This window comes from Homo sapiens, chromosome 15, assembly GCF_000001405.40.
Source record: "Homo sapiens chromosome 15, GRCh38.p14 Primary Assembly".
NCBI classification, from domain to species: domain Eukaryota; kingdom Metazoa; phylum Chordata; class Mammalia; order Primates; family Hominidae; genus Homo; species Homo sapiens.
Genome location: NC_000015.10, coordinates 99299730 through 99320477, shown reverse-complemented (window position 1 = coordinate 99320477; position 20748 = coordinate 99299730). Strand labels below are relative to the sequence as shown.

Genomic DNA, 20748 nt, shown 5'->3' with positions numbered 1-20748 from the left:
TCTAAAGAGTAATGGTCTACAAATTTAAACATGAACTCATGTTTATTTTTTTATAACCCTTAGTAATACACTACTTAGGGTCTGCCAGTATAGGACACAACTGTCCATATTATAAGAGGCTTGCTATATATTCATAACTTTTGAATGTGTGGCAGGTTATATTTAGTAACAAATGACCATAACTTAAAGTTAGGAACAATACCAGGAAGCACACGGAGAAAATCTATTAATTATGCATTTGTCTAATATAAGCAATATACAAGAAGAACTTAAAAAAATTATATTAGCAATTAACAAGACCTCTTAACAGAATACTATATTTATAAAAGATAATTAAATATTATTTGGGAGCTTTAAAATAAAATGCTCCCGGCTGGGCACGGTGGCTCACGCCTGTAATCCCAGCACTTCAGGAAGCTGAGAAGGGCGGATCACCTGAGGTCAGGAATTGGAGACCAGCCTGGCCAACATGGTGAAACCCCATCTCTACTAAAAAGTACAAAAAAAATTAGCTGGGCGTGGTGGCGGCCACCTGTAGTCCCAGCTACTTGGGAGGCTGAGGCAGAGAATAGCTTGAACCCAGGAGGCAGAGGTTGCAGTGAGCTGAGATTGCACCACTGCACTCCAGCCTGGTTCTGTCTCAAATAAAATAAAAAATAAATAAAATAAAATAAAATAAAATGTTCCCAAACATATGACATCTGAGAAACGTAAGAAAAATGAATTTGATTTAAATATTTATGTCTAGGTGCCAAGCTTGCCAATTAATTCCCAGTAGAAATTTTTAAATGTTAAAGACAGTAATTTAAAAAAAAAAACCACACTGTTTTGACATTTTACCTCGTGCTTTGTGTGTGACTAGATTATGCACTAGAATTTCATTCAGTATTCTTCCAAATAAGTTATTTCCCAGGTGTTCGCTGGTATCTAACCAACTAGTCAATAAAGTATTCTTGCTAAGTGACAATTATAATATAACTAACTGCTAGAGAGAAATGGCATTTATCTTTTTCAGATATATTGTCTTTGATTTTTAAAAGCATTTATTCTAAAAGTTAGCATCTTTGTTATCGCTTTGTGTCTGTACATGGATTTCTATTTGGAAAAATCCTTTATCTTCCTCATTCTTCAAGATTCATGGAGACCACATACCCAGATTTTCATTTTATGTTTTATTTTAGCGATGGTCAATTTTATAGACTTCTTCTAGGGAGGCTTTTTTCTCTTTACTGAGTTAGCACAATGGAGTTTTTAAGCTTTGACCTGAATGAGGCCACTAGGTGTCTATTGTTGGTATAAAACTATTATAATCATTGCCTTAAGAAATATCACAGCATCATAGTCCAGAATAAAAATTTATTTTTTAACTTTACTACTTTGCACAGAATAAGTAAAAGTAATCTCTATTTTACTTGCTGGAAAGAATGATATAATAATGATGACTGCTTTCATCTCACTTTCCAAATTCAAAACAGGAAGAAATTTTAAAGGAAAACATTTTAGTGCATATACATTTCAGATTACCAAACTGATTCACTCCAGTTTCTTTCTTTGAAATTCCCATAAAAAATTACCATGAAAAATAGAAAGCGGTTGATGACCTCCACTGATAGAACATTTGGAAACCACTGGAAAAACACATGCACAACACAAAAATTATCTAGTTTAAAAAAAATCTCTCAATTAAAATACTTCCATACTAAATACAATATATAATTTTGATTTCTAAATATTAATATATAGCCTTTGTAAGAAACAATAAGAAACTCACATCACAATTTACATGAAAAACATTGCATTAGAGATTTCTGAATAGGCATATATTGGTTATTAATCTTAATACAAAAGCAAAGTCTCTAAATTTACTGCCTGCTCTTGTTTAGAGTTCTCAGATAACCACCTACAGAGTGAAAAAAAAGACTCAAAAATGATTAATATCAAGGGTAGAAATGAAATGTGGCACAGAAAGATGTTATCTTTTCATTTCAAAATTTCCTATGCTGTTTAAACTTTTATTTCTATTGCTATGAACTACTTCTATAATAAAAATTAATTATTTAATGGTGCCTCCTCACACACATTGGGATTCCTCAGAACAAGAAACACAACAATTGTAAGCACCTGTTATATTTTTATTTATTAGTTGTATTTACTTTAGCTAAGAATTATCACACTGAAATCTGTGATTAAAATTCTAAAAATTTGAGTTTCCTAATGATATTCTGGTTCACTGCAACAGAAAACAAAAATTTAATAAACGTGTATATATAATGCTTTTATGCAAATCTATATTGCTGAGGGTCTCACAAGTTCTGTCATTATAAAATTTTTTTAAATCTCAAATTTCATACAGTTTCTGTCAATTACAAGTACTATAGAAAATTGTATGATGCTTCTAATGAGAACACATAAAAACGTATTTCTTCAGATTTCTGTTTATTCCCAATCTTTGCAAAAATACTACAAAGAGGACTACTGCTTTGCTGCAAGGCAGTCAATACATACCAGAATTCAAAATCTTTTATTGTGTTCTACCAATCTTTTGTTGTGCACTGCATCAACAAAGCTTTTAAATGCTCCTCAATAATAGGAAGGAAGTAACAAAACAGTGGAAAAGAACAATAAAACTTGTATGTTTATGGAGAATAGCAAACAGTTCAACGCTGCAGAGATGACATGTGTTTTATAAGTCATATTTTTTTCAGAAATGCTTTAGTTGCAAATAAAATTTCCAAGAATATTAACATTTTCCAAATTAAGTTTATGTTCTACTCTCCTATAATATTTGAACTGGCAGATTAGCAAAATATAGGAATTATTTCAAAACAACACCCCAAAAAGCAACTTAAAAAAAACAAAAGAAAGCTGACATCTAATTTTTAAATTAACTTTAAGTAAAACCAAATGTCTGTAATAATTTTTACTACTGACCTTATGGAACAACACACATCTCAAGTAGCGGTTAGTCCAACTGTGTTCACAGGAACACCAGTTCAGAGCAATGTTCTCATGGTCTATTAAGTTTAGGAAAAACAATACATTATACAGTTTACTGTAATACACATTAGCATATCACAGAGCATTATCAAGTCAGGAAACCCACTTAATTGTGATTCACCAGCAGGTTCCCATACATTTGGCCACCGCACACTTTTTCATAGAACATGTAAAGAAAGTTTGGAAAAGGTTGGTTATCAACATTTTAAGGAACATTTTCCCTAGGTATTCCATCAGAAAGGCATAGACATTTTTAATAGTAGCTCTAATATTTTTTCCTTTTATACAGGAAAAATAAAAAGGAATTATTTTGGACCCTGCTCAAGGGAAACGAAATGAAAATGGGATGCTAAATCCTAGTCTAATACTCATGGTCACTGGCATACTTGCGTACACGCAACATTTATGAGGCTCTGACTATTATCACTTTAGGCTGTGCTTTAAAAAAAACCTTCCCCACCTCTCCAAAAAAAAAAAAAAGGCCCAGTAGGTGGCTCACACCTGTTATCCCAGCACTTTTGGAGGCCAAGGAGAAGGATTGCTGGAGCCCAAGATTTTGAGGCTGCAGTGAGCTATGATCATGCCACTGTACTCCTCCAGCCTGGGCAACAGAGCAAGACTTCATCTTTAAAAAACTAACAAACAAAAAACCTTCCCTGGTGTCCAAGCTTGTATCCGCCAGGGTCCTTTCAATACTTTACAGATACTGTTTTATTCTTGTAGTTCTCCTGAAGGATGTTCAAAGAGTTTTTTTTTTTTTTTTTTAAGAGTTTTCTATTTAAATCCTACCTCAAATCTCTCTTTGCACAATAATTCTCTCCTATCATCCATTAATTCTCTACTTTCTTCCCTATAAGCAAAAACAGGCCTTCAGCCCCCTATGGCACATGTTCCCAATACAGTAATAGAATTTAAAAGTTCCTCATAAAATATGGAATGAACTGTATCCATAATTTCCTTCAAATCTTTCCACCAAAAAAATGACTTTCCTTATTCCCTAATTCCCTATTTCCTTATTCCCTAATTCCCATTTCTCTAGTTCCTTATTAGAGGCAAGTGGTTTCTACCACACAAATTCTTCACAAGAAAAGGGCCAGATAGAATGCTAGAGTAAATAAAATTAAAAGGAAAAAAAGAGCACTCTGTTTTGAAATGAGTCTACAAAAACATGGATACAACTACTGTTCAAATAATTATTTCCTTTGTATTCACTTTCATTAAGAGATATAAGTAGTATATATAACAAATTATATTTTATGAGTAACCAAAAGTATGGATGAAATGATTTTTATATAACCTTACATTCAGAAATATTGTCAACATAGATACAACAAACTTTATAAAAGGCTTACTGGTTGAGCCAATATAGCATTAATATCTAAATGTTTTATTTAAGTTAAAATTTCTAGAAAACATGAGCAGATTCCATTAATAGCACACAAAAGTTGTTAATTTGATGCTTTACTCAACTTTTTAAAATGTATGATGCTTTTTGTTACGAATTCATAATTTAAAATAAGAATTTCATGAGTGGGAAACAGGCTTCTAGTAGGTGAAGATAATGTTTCTTTTTCTTTTTTTGGAGACAGGTTCTTGCTCTGCTGCCCTAGCTGGAATGTACGACTCACTATATCCTGGAATTCCTGGCCTCAAACTATCTTCCTACCTCAGCCTCCAGGTGTGAGCCAGATGTCTGGCCTGAAGATGGTATTTCTGATACCTTACCTTAATCATGACTATTATCATAGTTGGTGCTTAACAAAATTGGGGCCACAGAGTAGCAGTCAACTTCAAACCTTTCTATATGGCCTCCTTCATTACCCATAAAATAGCATTAGCTAATTTGTACAAAACCAGGTAATAGCTGGAAAAAATTAAAAAGAAAAAAATGATTGGTTCAAAATATATGGACAGCATATGAGTCTCTAATTGTTTCAAAATTGAGTTTAATCAACAAACAAGCATATGGACTGTCAATAGCACTACTGGCATGAGATCCTAGAATTCTGTTTCCCACCATAAAAATTTTAGGATAGTAGTAGTGACTTTCCACTGGAAGTTCATTTTAAGCCTATAATAAGAGAATAAGAAAGTTCATTTGGTTAATGATTCAAAACACCAAGAAACTTTCTATCACAGAAACAATACAGAAACAGAACCTAAACAATGACACTATCTAAACAGCACCTAAAACAATAAAATGAATTTACTTTCCTGTTACCTAGATATTACTGTCTGTTGATCGCTGCTGTCCTCAAAAACTAAATTATGTATAATATTTTAAATAAATAATCAACACTGAAATTATACTGTGTCCTCTGGTAATTTTTATAAGAACTGCATGATTCCTTGTTTAATGGTAAAAATTTTTTTTCATCCTCTGAAGAGCTGAAAATCTATGAAAAACATTTTCTAGCTTTTACTATTTTATTCCTTTGGAGTAAAGAGAATAAAAATTGATGTCAAATAACACCCTATGTAAATAAAATCCAAGATTTAAAGTTGTATATACATCTTATTGCTTTCAGAGAAAGCTACAACCAAAGATTTACATTTGTCTTTAGCTATATGAATCTGCAAGAATGAAGTAAATTCCATTGTCCTGCATGAGCCACACTTCAAAAAAATGCTAATACCAGAAAGATTTCTGTATGTATGCTTGCACTAAGAATAATTCGCTAAAATGACAAGTTAAAGGCTACTTTCTCCACTAGAGATTGATGTTCAAACATCTTATAGAGGAACTTAAAACCCAGGTTAGGTGAAGGGGGTAAGAAGGCTTTCATACACTTTAAAGCAGTTTACGTACCCAAACAAATACCATCTCAGTAAATGAAAGAACATAAAAACATATTCCCAATGTTTTTGTCAGTAACTGTGAACACAGGAACTTACCCAGTAACTTTAGAATAGAAGTGCCAGAGAATCAGAGATGATAAAATATTGTTACAAATTCATGACAAAATATGGATTCCGCAGCTCTGTGAGCTCCTTACATCTTTACAAAATTATTTATTTATTTATTTATTTATTTATTTATTTAGAGACAAGGTCTCACTCTGTCACCCAGGCTGGAGTGCAGTTGTGTGATCACAGCTCACTGCAGCCTTAACCTCCCAAGCTTAAGTGATCCTCCCACCTCAGCCTCCCAAACAGCTGAGACTACAGGCATGTGTCACCATTTCCTTGCTAATCTTTTATGGAGACAGGGTTTCATCATGTTCCCCAGGCTGATCTCAAACTCCTAGATTCAAGTGATCCACCTGCCTCAGCCTCTCAGAGTGCTAGGATTACAGGGATGAGCCACGACACCTGGCCAATATTTTTAAATAGCTAATTAAATAAATGGCTTGAGAATATTTTGGAAGAATAGCAGCCTAAGGCATGTGACAAACTCAGCGAAGTTTCTCCACCAAAAACAAGCTTAACACTGGACAAAACTCTGAAAAACAACTATTCATAACTCTAGAAATCAACCAAAGGCAGAAAATAAATTCAGTAGTGTTTGTTCATTCAAGAACAGTGGAAGTCTGCAGCCTTTTCTTGGTTGGGATGGCTCCTGTCACATCCTACCCCCAGCCCAGTCTACAAGAATAGCAGTTTATCAAAACAGGGCTAAGGAAACCAAAAGCTTGGCTACCAGAGAGAGCACCCTCAATTTGGGGCAGGGGACAAAATCCCACAGCTTTGTCCCCTAAAACTGGCAAAATCCATAAGGAAAAGAAAAAAAATGTCAACCAAGAATTCTACATACAGGAAAACTATCCTTCAGCCATGAATTCAAAATAAAGGCATTCTTAGATAAATAAGAAATGAGAAAATTAGTTGCTAGCAAACCTGCCCTATAAGAAATATTAAAAGGGCTGAAAGAAAATGATTATCAGATGGTAATTCAAAATAACAGGAAGGAATCAAGTTCTTTTGAATTGCTTTATGGCCTAGCATATATGATCTATCCTGAAGAATGTTCTATGTGTGCTGCAGAAGAATATTCTATGTGTGCTGCAAAAGAATAATGCCTTCTGCTTGTGTTGAGTGGAGAGTTACCTTAGTTCAAGTTGGTCAACAAAATTGTTCAAGTTTTCTATATCTTTACTTGTTCTCAGATGCCAAGAGAGGACTATTAAAATCTTCAACATAATTGCGTTGTTTATTTCCCCTTTCAATTCCAGGTGTGAGCCAGATGTCATTTTCTGCTTCATGTATTCTGGGCCTCTTTTGGTAAGTGCATCTACATTTATAATTCTTATATCTTCCCAATATACTGATCCTTTTATCATTATAAATTGTCCTTGTTTAGTTCCAATATTTCTTGTCTTAAAGTGTATTGTGTCTGTTATTAAAATAGCTACTACAGCTATTATTTCCTGTTTGCAAGGTATATCTTTTTCCTTCTTTTTCTTTTGGCCCTATTTGTGTCTTTGATCCTAAATTGTACCTCTTCTGACAAAATATAGTTTGGGTCTTGCTTTATGACTAAGTTGGAAAATCTCTTCCTTTTGATTGTAGTGTTTAGACCATTCACATTTAATGTAATTACTGATGTTGTTATATTTACAATTGTGATTCAGCTATTTTTAAAATTACGCCTCATGTCTTTTTGTGTCTCTGTTTTTCCATTCTATTTTTTATCTCATACAGTCATGAACCACATAACTACGTTTTGGTCAACAATAGACCGCAGAGAAGACAGTGGTCCCATACAATTATAATGTAGCTAAAAAATTCCTATCACCTACTGAGAGTTGTAGCCATTGTAACATTGTAGCACAACTCATTACTCACGTGTTTGTGATGATGCTGGTATAAACACAAACCTACTATGCTGCCAGTTGTATGAAGGACAGCACATACAAATACTGTACATAATAACTGATAATAAACAACTCTGTTACTGGTTTATTAATTAGACTATACTTTTTATTTTAGAGTGTACTCCGTCTACTTATAAAAAAAATTAATTGTAAAAGAGCCTTAGGCAGGTCTTTCAGGAGATAGTGCAGGAAAAAGCATTGTTATCATAGGCGATGACAGCTCCATACATGCTGTTGTCCCTGAAGACCTTCTGGTGGGAAAAGATTAGAGGTGGAAGACAGTGATATTGATTATCTTGACCCTGTGTAGGCCTAGACTAATATGTGTGTTAGTGTCTCAGTTTTTAACAATAAAGTCACATTGTGTTATAATTGCCTATAGTATTCAGTATAGTACCATGCTGCACAGGTTTGTAGCCTAGGAGCAATAAGTTATACAATATGGCTTAGTGTGTAGCAAGCTATAATATCTAGGTTTATGTAAGTGTACTCTATGATGTTCACACAACAACAAAATCACCTAACAACACATTTCTTAGAATGTATTCCCATTAAGCAGTGCGTGACTGTAGAAATATTTGTGTATTGTTTTAACTTCCTTTATTAATTTTTTAGCTATAATTCTTGAGGGTTTTTTTAGTGAGTATTCTAGGAATCACAATACACATCATTAATCACAATATATTTCAGGTCAATATTGGCTTAATTCTGGTAAAACACAGTAACTTTGCTCCAGTATAGCTCTGTTTCCACTTTCCTCACTGTTACGACTATGGCTTTAAATAATCTTTAGGGTTTTTTAAAAGAAATTAAGAAATATACATATTCAGCCCTTTATATTTCACATACATTTACCATATCCGATAGATCATATTCTAGAGCAGGGGTGGCACATTTTTTCAGTAAAGGGCCAGATGGTAAATACCTTAGGCTTTGCAAGCCATGTACAGATTCTGTTGCATATTCTTGGCTTTTTAGAGTACTCTTTAAAATTTTTAAATCATTCTGAACTTGCAGGCAATTACAAACAACCACAAAAAGACCAATGACCAGATTGGGTCTGTGTGTCATAGTTTGCCAACCCATGTTAAGATATAAAACAAGTCTTCATACATTTCCTTTTTAAAACTGAAAACATACAAGAATATAGCCTGACCACAACAGAATTAAATTGAAAATCAACAACAGGAAGAAATTTGAGAAATGTGCAAACACTTGGAAATTGAACAATACACTTGTAAACAACTCATGGGTAAAGAAGAAATTGTGAAGAAAATTAGAAAATATATTTGAAATGAATGAGAACGAACACACAACATATCACAATTCACGTAAAGCAACGAAAGAAGTACTTAACCTGAAATCTGAAATGCTCTAAAATCCAAAGATTTCTGAGTGCCAACATGATGCCACAAGTGGAAAATTATACACCTGACCTCACGTGCCAGGTTGCAGTCAAAATGCAAGTACACAACACATAGTTTATTCCATGTCCCCAAGACAGAAAAGACCCTCCCAGTCCCCTTTAGCTGAAATATATCTTTTCTGTGCATGCCCAGATAGCTCCACGCAAGCAAACCAAAAAGGGTAGTGAAATGGCATGTGTGCAGACTAAGGACACCAACGGCAGGTTCCCCACCATGACCCACACAGGGCCAAGACCTACGTGCATTACTCACTGTGGTTTTTTGTTTATTCTCTGCTTTGTGGTGTAAATATATTGCTGAAAATGTCAAAAAGGCCTGCAAATACCTCTGTGGGTAACAGTGATAAGAAAAATAGGAAGCATTTGTGTTTATCTACAGCACAGAAAATCAAACTGTTGGAGAAAGTGGACAGCCGTATTGCGTGAAACACCTTACAGAAGAGTATAGTGTTGGCAGGCCACCATGTATGACTTGAAGAAATGGAAGGATATGATTCTTAAATCTCTTAATTTATAACAGTTCTCCCTCTCCTTTCTTCATTTTCATGTCTTTCGCTTACTTACACGGATTTTTGTCTTACAGAATTTTCAACACCCTCGATTTGGTTTATTGTGCCTTCTTTGTGTCATCAAAAATACTCACTTATCCCTGTTCACTTTTCTTTGGCATGATTACATTATAAGGAGAGGGTTACACCCTTCCAATTTCATCACACTGGGTAGTAGAACATAATGTCTGCTTGTCTCACTTCTAGTGAAGTTAAGATTAACTAGTAGATTCTAGTGTTATCAGCCTGATCCATTCAATACAAAGCTTCCTATCAACTTTTTACCTAATGGTTCAGGAAGCTATTAATGATTTTGCCAAGATATTTCATTAGAAATTACAAATGTTGGTTTTTAAAATTCCATCATTCCTTCTATATGTATTAACTATAATTATTCCATGTAGAAAAACTCTCCCACCTTCAACTATTCAGTTACCCTGAAAAATAGTTGTTTTAGAAAAAGGCAGAAAAATGATTCTTTCCCTTTAAATTTTGAAGAACAAGTTGGTAGTATAACAACCTCCAGAGTTTACCAACAAGTTTTTAAGAGCACCATTACAAACTCATACATGTTTCTATATCTGATATGTTTTAATACATTTCAGTCATAGCTTTTTATGCTTAACAGTTCACTTTTGACTTCTGTACGATTTTCACATGACCCTCAGAAGTCTCTGACTGATTCTGTTTTCTGGCACAAGATGTCCCGAGGGTGCATCTTCTACAAGTTGTGCCTCAAACACAGCAACCTGGTTCATTTTAGTGGGAAATGGTTTTTAAAGGCTTTAATCTCTTTGGCCTGGAATTCTTCACCACCTTATTAGCTCACCAATGCCTTCAAAACAGATTTTCCCAGACTCCCCACCCTGCACTGTCCTCAAGGGAGGGTTGGTCTGAATTATCTAGTCTTGCAATTCTATAAGCAGAAGTCCTAAGATAAGAAATTGTGGAAGAGAGCACCCAAAAGCTTTTAAAAGACATCTTCCCAGTGGGCGTGGTGGTTCACACCTGTAATCCCAGCACTTTGGGAGGCCAAGGCAGGCAGATCACGAAGTCAGGAGTTCAAGACCAGCCTGGCCAACATGATGAAACCGCGTCTCTACTAAAAATACAAAAATTAGCCAGGCGTGGTGGCGCGTGCCTGTAATCCCAGCTACTCAGGAGGCTGAGGCAGGAGAATTGCTTGAACCCAGGAGGCAGAGGTTGCAGTGAGCCAAGATTGTGCCACTGCACTCCAGCCTTGGCGACAGAGCGAGACTCCATCTCAAAAAAAGAAAAAAAAGACATCTTCCCTCAGTTATATGCCACACACAAATAAAGACTAGTTCATAACAATCAACTAAACTGGGGTAGAATTCAGAAAGGCTTCAGGAGTGGAAAGTCAGATCACAGTTGAGGGTCACTCTGTTTTTTGAACCCAGGGGTTGGTTCCACAAATTTTCTTAATTCATCAGCCAAAGAACCTGCAAAATATCACCCTGACAGTGGACTAACAGCTAAAGCAGAATTAGGAAACTAAATGGAAAATAACCACTAACAAGCCTAATTAGTATATTTACTCATGGCAGCAAAATAAGGGTAACACCCACAAACACAAAGTCTGCATTCCAAGATTCTTATAGAATGGAATAAACAAGCATTTATACTCCAACTGCTAAGTTTATATATCTAAAGCTGAGGTGAGAAGGGAGTGATAATACAGAAAAAAAGACAAGGGCACTATTCCTTAGTAGAATTAATTCTTTCTCTTAGATAGCAAAAACAATCAAGAATTCCTTTATTCGTCTGCAGTTGAGCCTCAGATGAGACTGCAGCCCTGGCCAACCCAACCTTGACTGCAGCCTTCTGAGACCCTAAGCAGATCGAGCTAAGCTGTGCTTAGACTGCTGATCCATAGAAATTGAGATAATAAATGTGTGTTGTTTTATGCCACTAACTTTGTGGTAATTTGTTATGCAGAGATAAATAATATAGTATTATAAGCTAGTACATGATTATTTATTCATTTATTTATTTTTTGGAGACAGGGTCCCACTCTATTGCCCAGGCTGAAGTGCAGTGGAGCGTTCATAGGTCACTGCAACCTCAAATATTCTAGAGTCAAGCAATCCCCCCACCTCAGCCTCCGAAGCAGTTGGGACTACAGGCACGTGCCACCACGCCTAACTAAGTTTTTTATTTTTATCTTTTGTAGAGACAAGGTCTTACTATGTTGCCCAGACTGGTCTTGAACTCCTAGCTTAAGCGATCCTCCTACCTCGGCCTCCCAAAGTGCTGGGATTATAGGTGTGAGCCACCATGATCTGTCACTAGTACATGATTTTACTTTCTTCAATCATATAAAATATTTGAAACAGACTTTTTTTTTAAAGATTAAGTATTTATGTTAACGACTTGGAAAAAACACTACTGAGAATCAGAAGACCTAGCATTGTCTCGATTCTACCTTACTAAGTCACGTTGTGTAAGATTCATAATCTCTCAGAGCCTCGAGAATTCTTATTTATAACCAGGGATAAAACCTGCCCTGTTGGTAAAAGAAAGTGAGTGAGACACTGTGAAAATTATAAAGCACTAAATAAACTAAAATCCAACTGCTTCTCACCAACAGTTCTGCTAACACTCTAGTGCAAGCCATCATCATTTCTTGCTGGGGTTATTTTGGCAGATTCCTAACTCGTCTCAGTTTTTGTTGTCGGCGCCTCGTTTAAGTTTTCATCACTGGCCCCTCTTTACAGTTATCTGAGTCATTCTTTTAAACCTAAATGAGATCATAGGACTCGTCTGCTCAAAATCCACCAGTGACTTCCCCTCACATCCAGAATGGAATCCACAGTGACCAAGGTCACACAAAATTAAGTCTTTACTGTTAACAAGTATAACATATTGCACCTTAACAAGATTTTCAATTGCAGGATCTTTAGTTTCGCTTTAAAACTGAGATGAGTGTTGGAAGTCAGGAAAACAAAGGCAAGGCTAATGGCAGAGGAACAATGAGCCAGTCTTCATGGAGTGTGGACTCTAAGAGGATAGAAATAAACTGGGAAGGCAGAAAAATGAGATGAGGAAGAAGGTAAATTTATTGAGTACATACTTTTGGTCTGAGAACTTTTCTATATGTAACAACTTTTACATTTTAAAAAATGAATGAACGGGATTAGAATCTTTGGTCTCTGATGCTAGGACTGGGCATCTATCTGCCTTATTCAGATATTCAAAAGGAGAGGAATAGATCTTTCTAAAAACTATTTTCAAAGATTAGTAATGTTCTGACCACTTCAGTTAAGAATTTTTGATGTTTAGTATTCTTTCTTTCACACTTTTGGATGGCATTTATGGGATGGGAAATCTTACTGGTCCTCAAGTCCGTGGGATTTGACAACTTCAGTTTATATTAAATCCACTTTGTTCTGCACTGTAGCCAGTGCTGCCTTAAGCATGATGTGGACCCTGCACCCTGTATCGTTCTCCCTACCCAACCCACAGTGTCCCAAGTATTAGAATTCTTCATTTCTATCTGCCAAAAGTCTAGTAAAAGATGAGATAAACTCTCTCTCTCAATGAAAACATGCTTCAGAATTACCTGCCCCCAGTGTTTACATACAGTCTAATGGCAATTAAACAAAGATCACCAGAGTGAACAGCTGGCCCCATTCTGACAATGAATGGCAGACGCTGAAGAAACACGTAATGGCTTGAAGGAGAAAAGCAGCAGGCTAATCCTCAGGGCTGAAGGCTCTTCTCCAAACTCAGAGGCAATGGACCCGAAAAGGACCAAAGATGTGCCAGACAAGACGCACCAGCAAGAAGGAAACATGTCAGTGGATAGGAAAGCAGCCCGTGCTCAAACACTCAGCAAAGAAACTGCTGCAGACCAACCTGAAGTGTTAGCGTGACACAGAACACTCATGACACTCACAGTGCAGGACAGACAATAGGCACCAAGGTCACTCAGCCAAGCTGGTGCCAGAGCCAAGGTATAAAACTAGGCTTCTTTTAAAACCTGCCAGAACTTTCTTTCATTTCCTCACACAGAAGCACAATGCATATGTACATTATCAACTCCTTTTATTATGCTATATGGAAGGGTATTACAAATACATAAAAGAATTTAACAAAATTAACAATAATTTTCATACATTACTTAACCAAGAGAGAGCTTTTAAACGTTGACAAAAAATGTGAAATTAAAAACACAAATATGAAGGGTAATTTTTAATTTTGGAAAAGGAAACAATATATCATTTTGTGTGTATGTATGTTTAAACAAAACTGACTTTATTTAGGTATCAGCGGGTTAGCCGAGTTCCTTTAAATAGTTAGGGATTTGCAAAGTGCAAAGCTCATGTAACATAATCTGTGTTTTCCTCAAATCCCCATCGGTCCATTTGCTTAAGAAACCCATGCTTCCTGGCAGGGTGCCGGCATACCAAACCTGCCCAGTCGTGCACAGTTTTATTTCTGTTACTAAATTAGGAAACCGAGTGGGCAATGTCTGGGACAACAGCAAAGAGAAATGCCTCGGCATCATTAGCCTGCAAGTCTCCCTAAAAGCTATATCATTATAAGATATTTAATTTTTAATTAGAGATACCAAGGCAATGTAGCCTAATATTGTGCAATACTAAGAAATAATTAAATGAAGACAAAAGGGAAAAATCCAAATGTTTAACAAAAGTATTCTTCTGAATAGCCTTAATCATGTTGTTAAAAATAAATGAACTACTACCACTCAAGGCTTAATTTCTCAATGACTGGTACTAAAATACTGCCCTCTTTTTCTAAGTGATGAAGGAGAAATGCGAAGTTATGCATCACAATTCTTACAAATATATACTAACATACTTTATGTAGAGCTCAGTTTGAACATTCAAGGAGATTTGAGTGGAGAAACACAAAGAAGGATTTCAAGAAAACAAAGCCACTGTTTTTATTTTCAAATTAATTTATAAATGATAGAAAAATATAGAAGGAAAAATACATAATATTCCTCTTTCCAAATTTTACTGACCCCAAATTTGCACATCATAGAGCTTTTAAAAAAAGATAGTAGCTATTAATTAACATTCTTTAAATAAACAAGCCCTGATATTTTATGGAAAGCTAAAGCTTGAATCCTGAAAGTGTTAGAATTTTAGTTTTAGCGATATCAGAAATACTTTTTTCTTATAAACATTTTGTTAAATTCAAACATCATAAACATTTTCTTAATTAATTTCAAAGTAGCATTCATTTTACTTTAGTTCTGTAAAATAAAAAATTAAATGAATATGTGCTAGAAAATCTACATCTTTACACAGATAATTTATGTATTTAAATATCAGAGTTTAGAAATTACAGAAAAATTAAACCAAGTTTCAGCGCTGTAAAAGCCCTGAAAGACTTGTCAACCATGACTATATTAAAAAGCTGTTCACAATATTTACTACCATTTAGCAAGACAGAAAATTCATTCACATTTATAAAAAATCCTGAGAGATGAACTCTTCCAATAACCATCCTGGCTGTTGGCATGCCTTCATCTAGTCTCCTTTTATATATACGTATTTATATGATCTCTAGAGCACAGCAAAAGGCACCTAGCTGATCTGACGTGTGCCAAAACCCAGAGCCTTTCACTTCTTTGGCTCAACTCCTACCGCTAAGATCTGGCCATCAGTGATGCACGCGAGCAGGTCCACAAGATTGGGGTGGGCCACACAGTCTCAAGTATCTCCCTATATTGTTGAAAAGAGGCACATTGTTGTGGAGGCCCAACAAAATGAGAGAAGCAAGGCTAAAGCTGTATTTTTACATAAATAAAAATAAAAGCAAGAAATAGATCAAATGATTAAAAATTATACTGAATAGGGTCGTGATCCCCATAGATCACTTTAATAAATAGTCTTTCAGACCCTCATTCTTGTTAACATTGCTACCTATACACACATAAAGAAATATATATAAGGCTGGGCACGGTGGCTCATGCCTGTAATCCCAGCACTTTGAGAGGCACAGGCAGGTGGGTCACTTGAGGTCAGGAGTTCAAGACCAGCCTGGCCAACACGGTGAAACCCCGTCTCTACTAAAAATACAAAAATAAATAAATAAATAAATGAGCCGGGCGTGTTGGTGCACACCTGTAATCCCAGCTACTCAGGAGACTGAGGCACAAGAATCACTTTAACCCAGGAGGCAGAGGTTGCAGTGAGCGGAGATCACATCACTGCACCCCAGCCTGGGTGACAGAGTAAGACCCTGTCTTGAAAAAAAAAGAAAAAAGAAAAGGAATATATATAAATGAATGGAGTGCCGGAAAAAGGAAAAATAAGTTTTGCTCTTCAAAAGACACCCCAATTAAAAAAATACACAAACCGCAGACTGAGAAAAAATATTTGCAAATCATATATCTGATAAATGACTTGTATCCAGATAATCACAGGGGTTGACAAAAGTTGACAACCTTGCTGTAAAGGGCTATTTATGTAAATCGTTTTTGCAAACCATATGGTCATTGTCACAACTACTCAACTCTGCCACTGCAGCATAAAAGCAGCCAGAGACAATATGTAAACGAATGGACATGGCTGTATTCCAAAAAAACTTTATTTACTAAATCAGATGAAGTGCTAGACTTGGCCCACAGGTCAGAGTTTTCTAACCTCGGTCCCTAGTATATCCGTACAGGTTATCTGATACTGAGTCTCTGACAGCAATTTTACAATTCTGTAAACTACAGATAACTGATAACAATGTAAACAATTCTTGTTTATAAACACATACATAAATTACATCCAGTGGGGGGGACAATGCTCTGTCTTTGTTGAGAAAACTAGCTTTGCCTCCATTTGAATATTCATTTATATTCTTTTTTTTTTTGCAATGGAGTTTTACTCTTGTCCCCCAGGCTGGAGTGCAATAGCGAGATCTCATCTCACTGCAACCTCCACCTCCCGGATTCATGCGATTCTCCTGCCTCAGCCTCCTGAGTAGCTGGGATTACAGGCATGCACCACCACGCCCAGCTAATTTTTGTATTTTTAGTAGAGACGGAGTTTCACCATGTTGGCCAGGCTGATCTCAAACTCCTGACCTCAAGTGATCCTCCCACCTCGGCCTCCCAAAGTGCTAGGATTGTAGGCATGAGCCACCGTGCCCAGGCCGTTTTTATATTCTTGATCTATGAATGTGTGTGTTCTAGGGATTCTCCTTGAACTTGTTATAACACCTTATCAATTTACTCATTAATAAGTTAAATAAAAGCTTTGCCACATTTTAAATTTTTTATATCTGTATGGGCATCACGATCTTAGCTTTTTTATGAAAATTATCCATTAACACCAGTATACATAAAGAACTCTTACAATACAATAATAAGAAAATAAACAACTCAATTTAAAAATGGCCAAAAGATAGGCATAGTTAATATTTGCCAAAGAGATGGCAAATAGACACATGAAAAGGTGCTTAATCTTTAGTTATTAGTGAAATGCAAATTTAACACACAATGAGATGCCACTATACAGCAACTAGAATAGCTACCATAAAAAAGACTGAAGATACCAAATGCTGGCAAGGTTGAGGAACTGGAACCCTCATACACTGCTAGTGGGAATGTAAAATGGTACAGCCACTTTGGAAAACAGTTTGGCAGTTTCTTTCAAAGTTAAAAATACATCCAGCAATTCTACTCTTAGGTATTTATCCAAGAGAAAAGAAAACATATGCCTACAAAAAGCCTGTACACAAATGTTCATAGCAACATTATTCCTAACAGCCCAAACTGGAGACAGCCTAAATAAACAACTGATGAATAAACCAAATATGGCACATCCATACAATAAAACATTACTAAGCAATAAAAGATGAGGTTATATACATTTAAACTACTAAAACATGAGGTTATGTACATTTACATGAAATTTCTGGAAAGTCAAAACTATAGAGACAAAAAGCAAGATCAGTGGTTGACTGCGGGTGAGAACAAAGGCTAGCAATAAACAGGCACCAGGGAACTTTTTGCAATGACGGAAGTCTTCTAAAACTAGATTGTATTGAGGGTTCCTAAACTGTGGACATTGAATAAAGTTAATTAACTGTACATGTAAAATGATGAATTTTATGGCATATAAATTGCACTTCAATAAAGCTGTTAAAAAATCAATAGCTTGGTGGCACATGCCTGTAATCCCAGCTACTTGGGAAGCTGAGGCAGGAGAATTGCTTGAACCGGGGAGGCAGAGGTTGCAGTGAGCCAAGATTGCGCCATTGCACTCCAGCCTGGGCAACAAGAGTGAAACTTATTGCCCATCTCAAAAAAAACAAAAACAAAAACAAAAACACACACCCACACAAAGAAAATCAATAGCTTAAAAAATTATTAACTTGGCCAGGTGCGGTGGCTCAAGCCTGTAATCCCAGCACTTTGGGAGGCCGAGGCGGGCAGATCATGAGGTCAGGAGATCGAGACCATCCTGGCTAACACGATGAAACCCCATCTCTACTAAAAATACAAAAAAATTAGCCAGGCATGGTGGCGGGCACCTGTGGTCCCAGCTACTCAGGAGGCTGAGGCAGGAGAATGGTGTGAACCCGGGAGGTGGAGCTTGCAGTGAGCTGAGATCGCGCCTCTGCACTCCAGCCTGGGCAACAGAGCAAGACTCCGTCTCAAAAAAAAAAAAAAATTATTAACTCACGCCAAGAACAAAATTATTGACATTGTTATAAAGTTTAAGAAGATATTATTTAGATGACATTTAAGAGTGGTATGTAGAAAAAAAAAAGTGATGTATGGAACACACATTGTAAATCAGTATAGATAATGCCCTGGGGATAAGGAAATACAGGTTCTCTTTCTTGTCATACCATTATATATCATAATTTTACATATGTTTCTGATTTAGAAGTAGTTAGAAATTTAAACTACGGATAGGAAACAAACACTGGTAATATGTAAACTCTCACACCCTATTATGTCACCTCTTTTAGCAGCAGAAGCAAATTTTCAAAGGCATCATTTTAAGTCCTCCATAAAATCAAACCTGCTAGAGCTAGTATAAATTTAAAAATGTTGAGTTTTAATGGTAGAATGAATATCAGAATCCACCATGTTAAAATTTACCTACCACATTGGATAAGAAAATGGAGACACAGAGGGATCAAGTAACAATAATTTTATAGGCTTTTGCCTTATTGAAAGTTTATAGTACTTAAAGTTCCATGGAATTCCGTTGTGGGAGACTTAAATAGTTTTATCTATAAAGTTCAAATGCAATTTCACAGGATATCATAAGCAAACCAAGAATATTCAAATAAAATAGATATGGTGGTTGGTAATTTAGGAAAAAATTAAGAAGTACAGAATAGATAAAATTATTAGTAACTCTGATTTATGAAGCTGATTTTATTAAGAGTCTCAAAAGAAAAAGGTTAAAATGTTCATTTCCCTTTAAAAAATAGTATTCTATAGTCTATATTTAATATAACATGCACTTAAAAACAATACAAATATTTGACTCTTAGATTGCTAAATAATTTAGGGATTTGGTCTTTGTAAAATACATATTCAACTATGCTATTGGATCTTCTCACTTAAAGAGAATGAGTTACAGAAATTTATCTCTGAACAAGAGCAGCTCCTCTGATGGATAAAAATACTGCAAGACAACACCCTGTGTATATAAAACAGTAATGGTGATTCTTCCTTCACTGATTATGTACACAGAGCTGTACAGAAAAATTATCTCACATTTTTGAACATGTAGTATTCAGTCTCCTAGAGATATCAAGTAAAAGAAGAATAGCACCACAGAAATCATAATTTTGGTTCAGGACATATATGCAACAATGTGCATAACTGTGCACACTTTTTATTTTATTTTATTTTCTTAGACAGGGTCTCACTCTGTCACCCAGGCTGGAGTGCAGTGGCACAATCTTGGCTCACTGCAGCCTCCGCCTCTTGGGTTCAAGCGATTCTCATGCCTCAGCTTCCTGAGGGGCTGGGATTACAGGTGCACACCATCACATCCAGCTAATTTTTGTATTTTTAGTAGAAGCAGGGTTCACCATGTTGGCCAGGCTGGTCTCAAACTCCTGACCTCAAGTGATCCACCCACATCGGCCTCCCAAAGTGCTGGGATTACAGGCATGAGCCATGGTGCCCGGCCAATTGTGCATACCTTTAAAAATATTTTCCAATGTACATTTGTTCTGCTTTAGATTAAACACTATTTTCATAGCCTGTAAACAAAAAAATTATAAGTATTATTTGATTACTCAATTGAATATTTTAATAATTAAAATTTTAATTTTATATATGAGACTTGTACTTTCCTTCAGAAAAATATGCATTTATATTTTAAAACTAGGTAAAAATAGATAAAAATTCTAAGACTTTACATTACTATAAACATCCATATATATCTTTCAGCATTTTTTTCTCAGAATACTTTTTAATTATTTCAACATCTTATAATGACTATGAAATTACAGTAAAAACTATCTCATTTAAGAAAAATGGATTCATGCTACAACCTAAATATATAAGAAAATAACATGACTTCCACAAAACCTGCTGTTATTAAGAAAAAAAAACACTAAGTCACTAATATTAGTCTTGTAAATTCATACTAAAGTGAAGAATGCCAAACTTCTGAAATTTAAAAAAGTCATCAAACAGCTCTGCCGGGCTTTAATTCTCTTTCAGATTACGTCAGGAGCAGAGATGTCAGCAGATCCAGCTAAGAAGTAGATCAGACATATAAACAACTAGTGATATTTGTTATAAGCATATAAAGATACTCATTTTTTGAGTGCTTCCTCACTTTCACAGCCAGTTTTGACTTAATGTTTTCCTACTACCTACAAAAAATACACAGTGAAAACCAAAACTTCTCAAAAAAAGGTATCTGCTTAAAATGTCAATTTTTAATAAAAGCTTTAATAAAAAGGATTAAACAAAGAACTATTATGCACATTGAGT

General features: G+C 35.5%; 1 protein-coding gene across 25 annotated transcripts in view; it reads right to left on the bottom strand.

Annotated features, from left to right (window-relative positions):
* The window catches only part of LRRC28 (leucine rich repeat containing 28), a 139249-nt gene that overhangs the window by 70252 nt on the left and 48249 nt on the right, over positions 1-20748 (bottom strand). For 2 of the 25 annotated variants that reach the window (NM_001321676.2, XM_047432146.1), the window contains exon 6: positions 2932-3014. The exons of 22 other annotated variants lie outside the window; for them this stretch is intronic. In NM_001321676.2, the coding sequence (NP_001308605.1) occupies positions 2932-3014 (83 nt within the window). Of the gene's footprint in view, positions 1-2931; positions 3015-20748 lie in introns of those variants that run through there. One more of the 25 variants, XM_047432149.1, reaches the window with a different exon arrangement.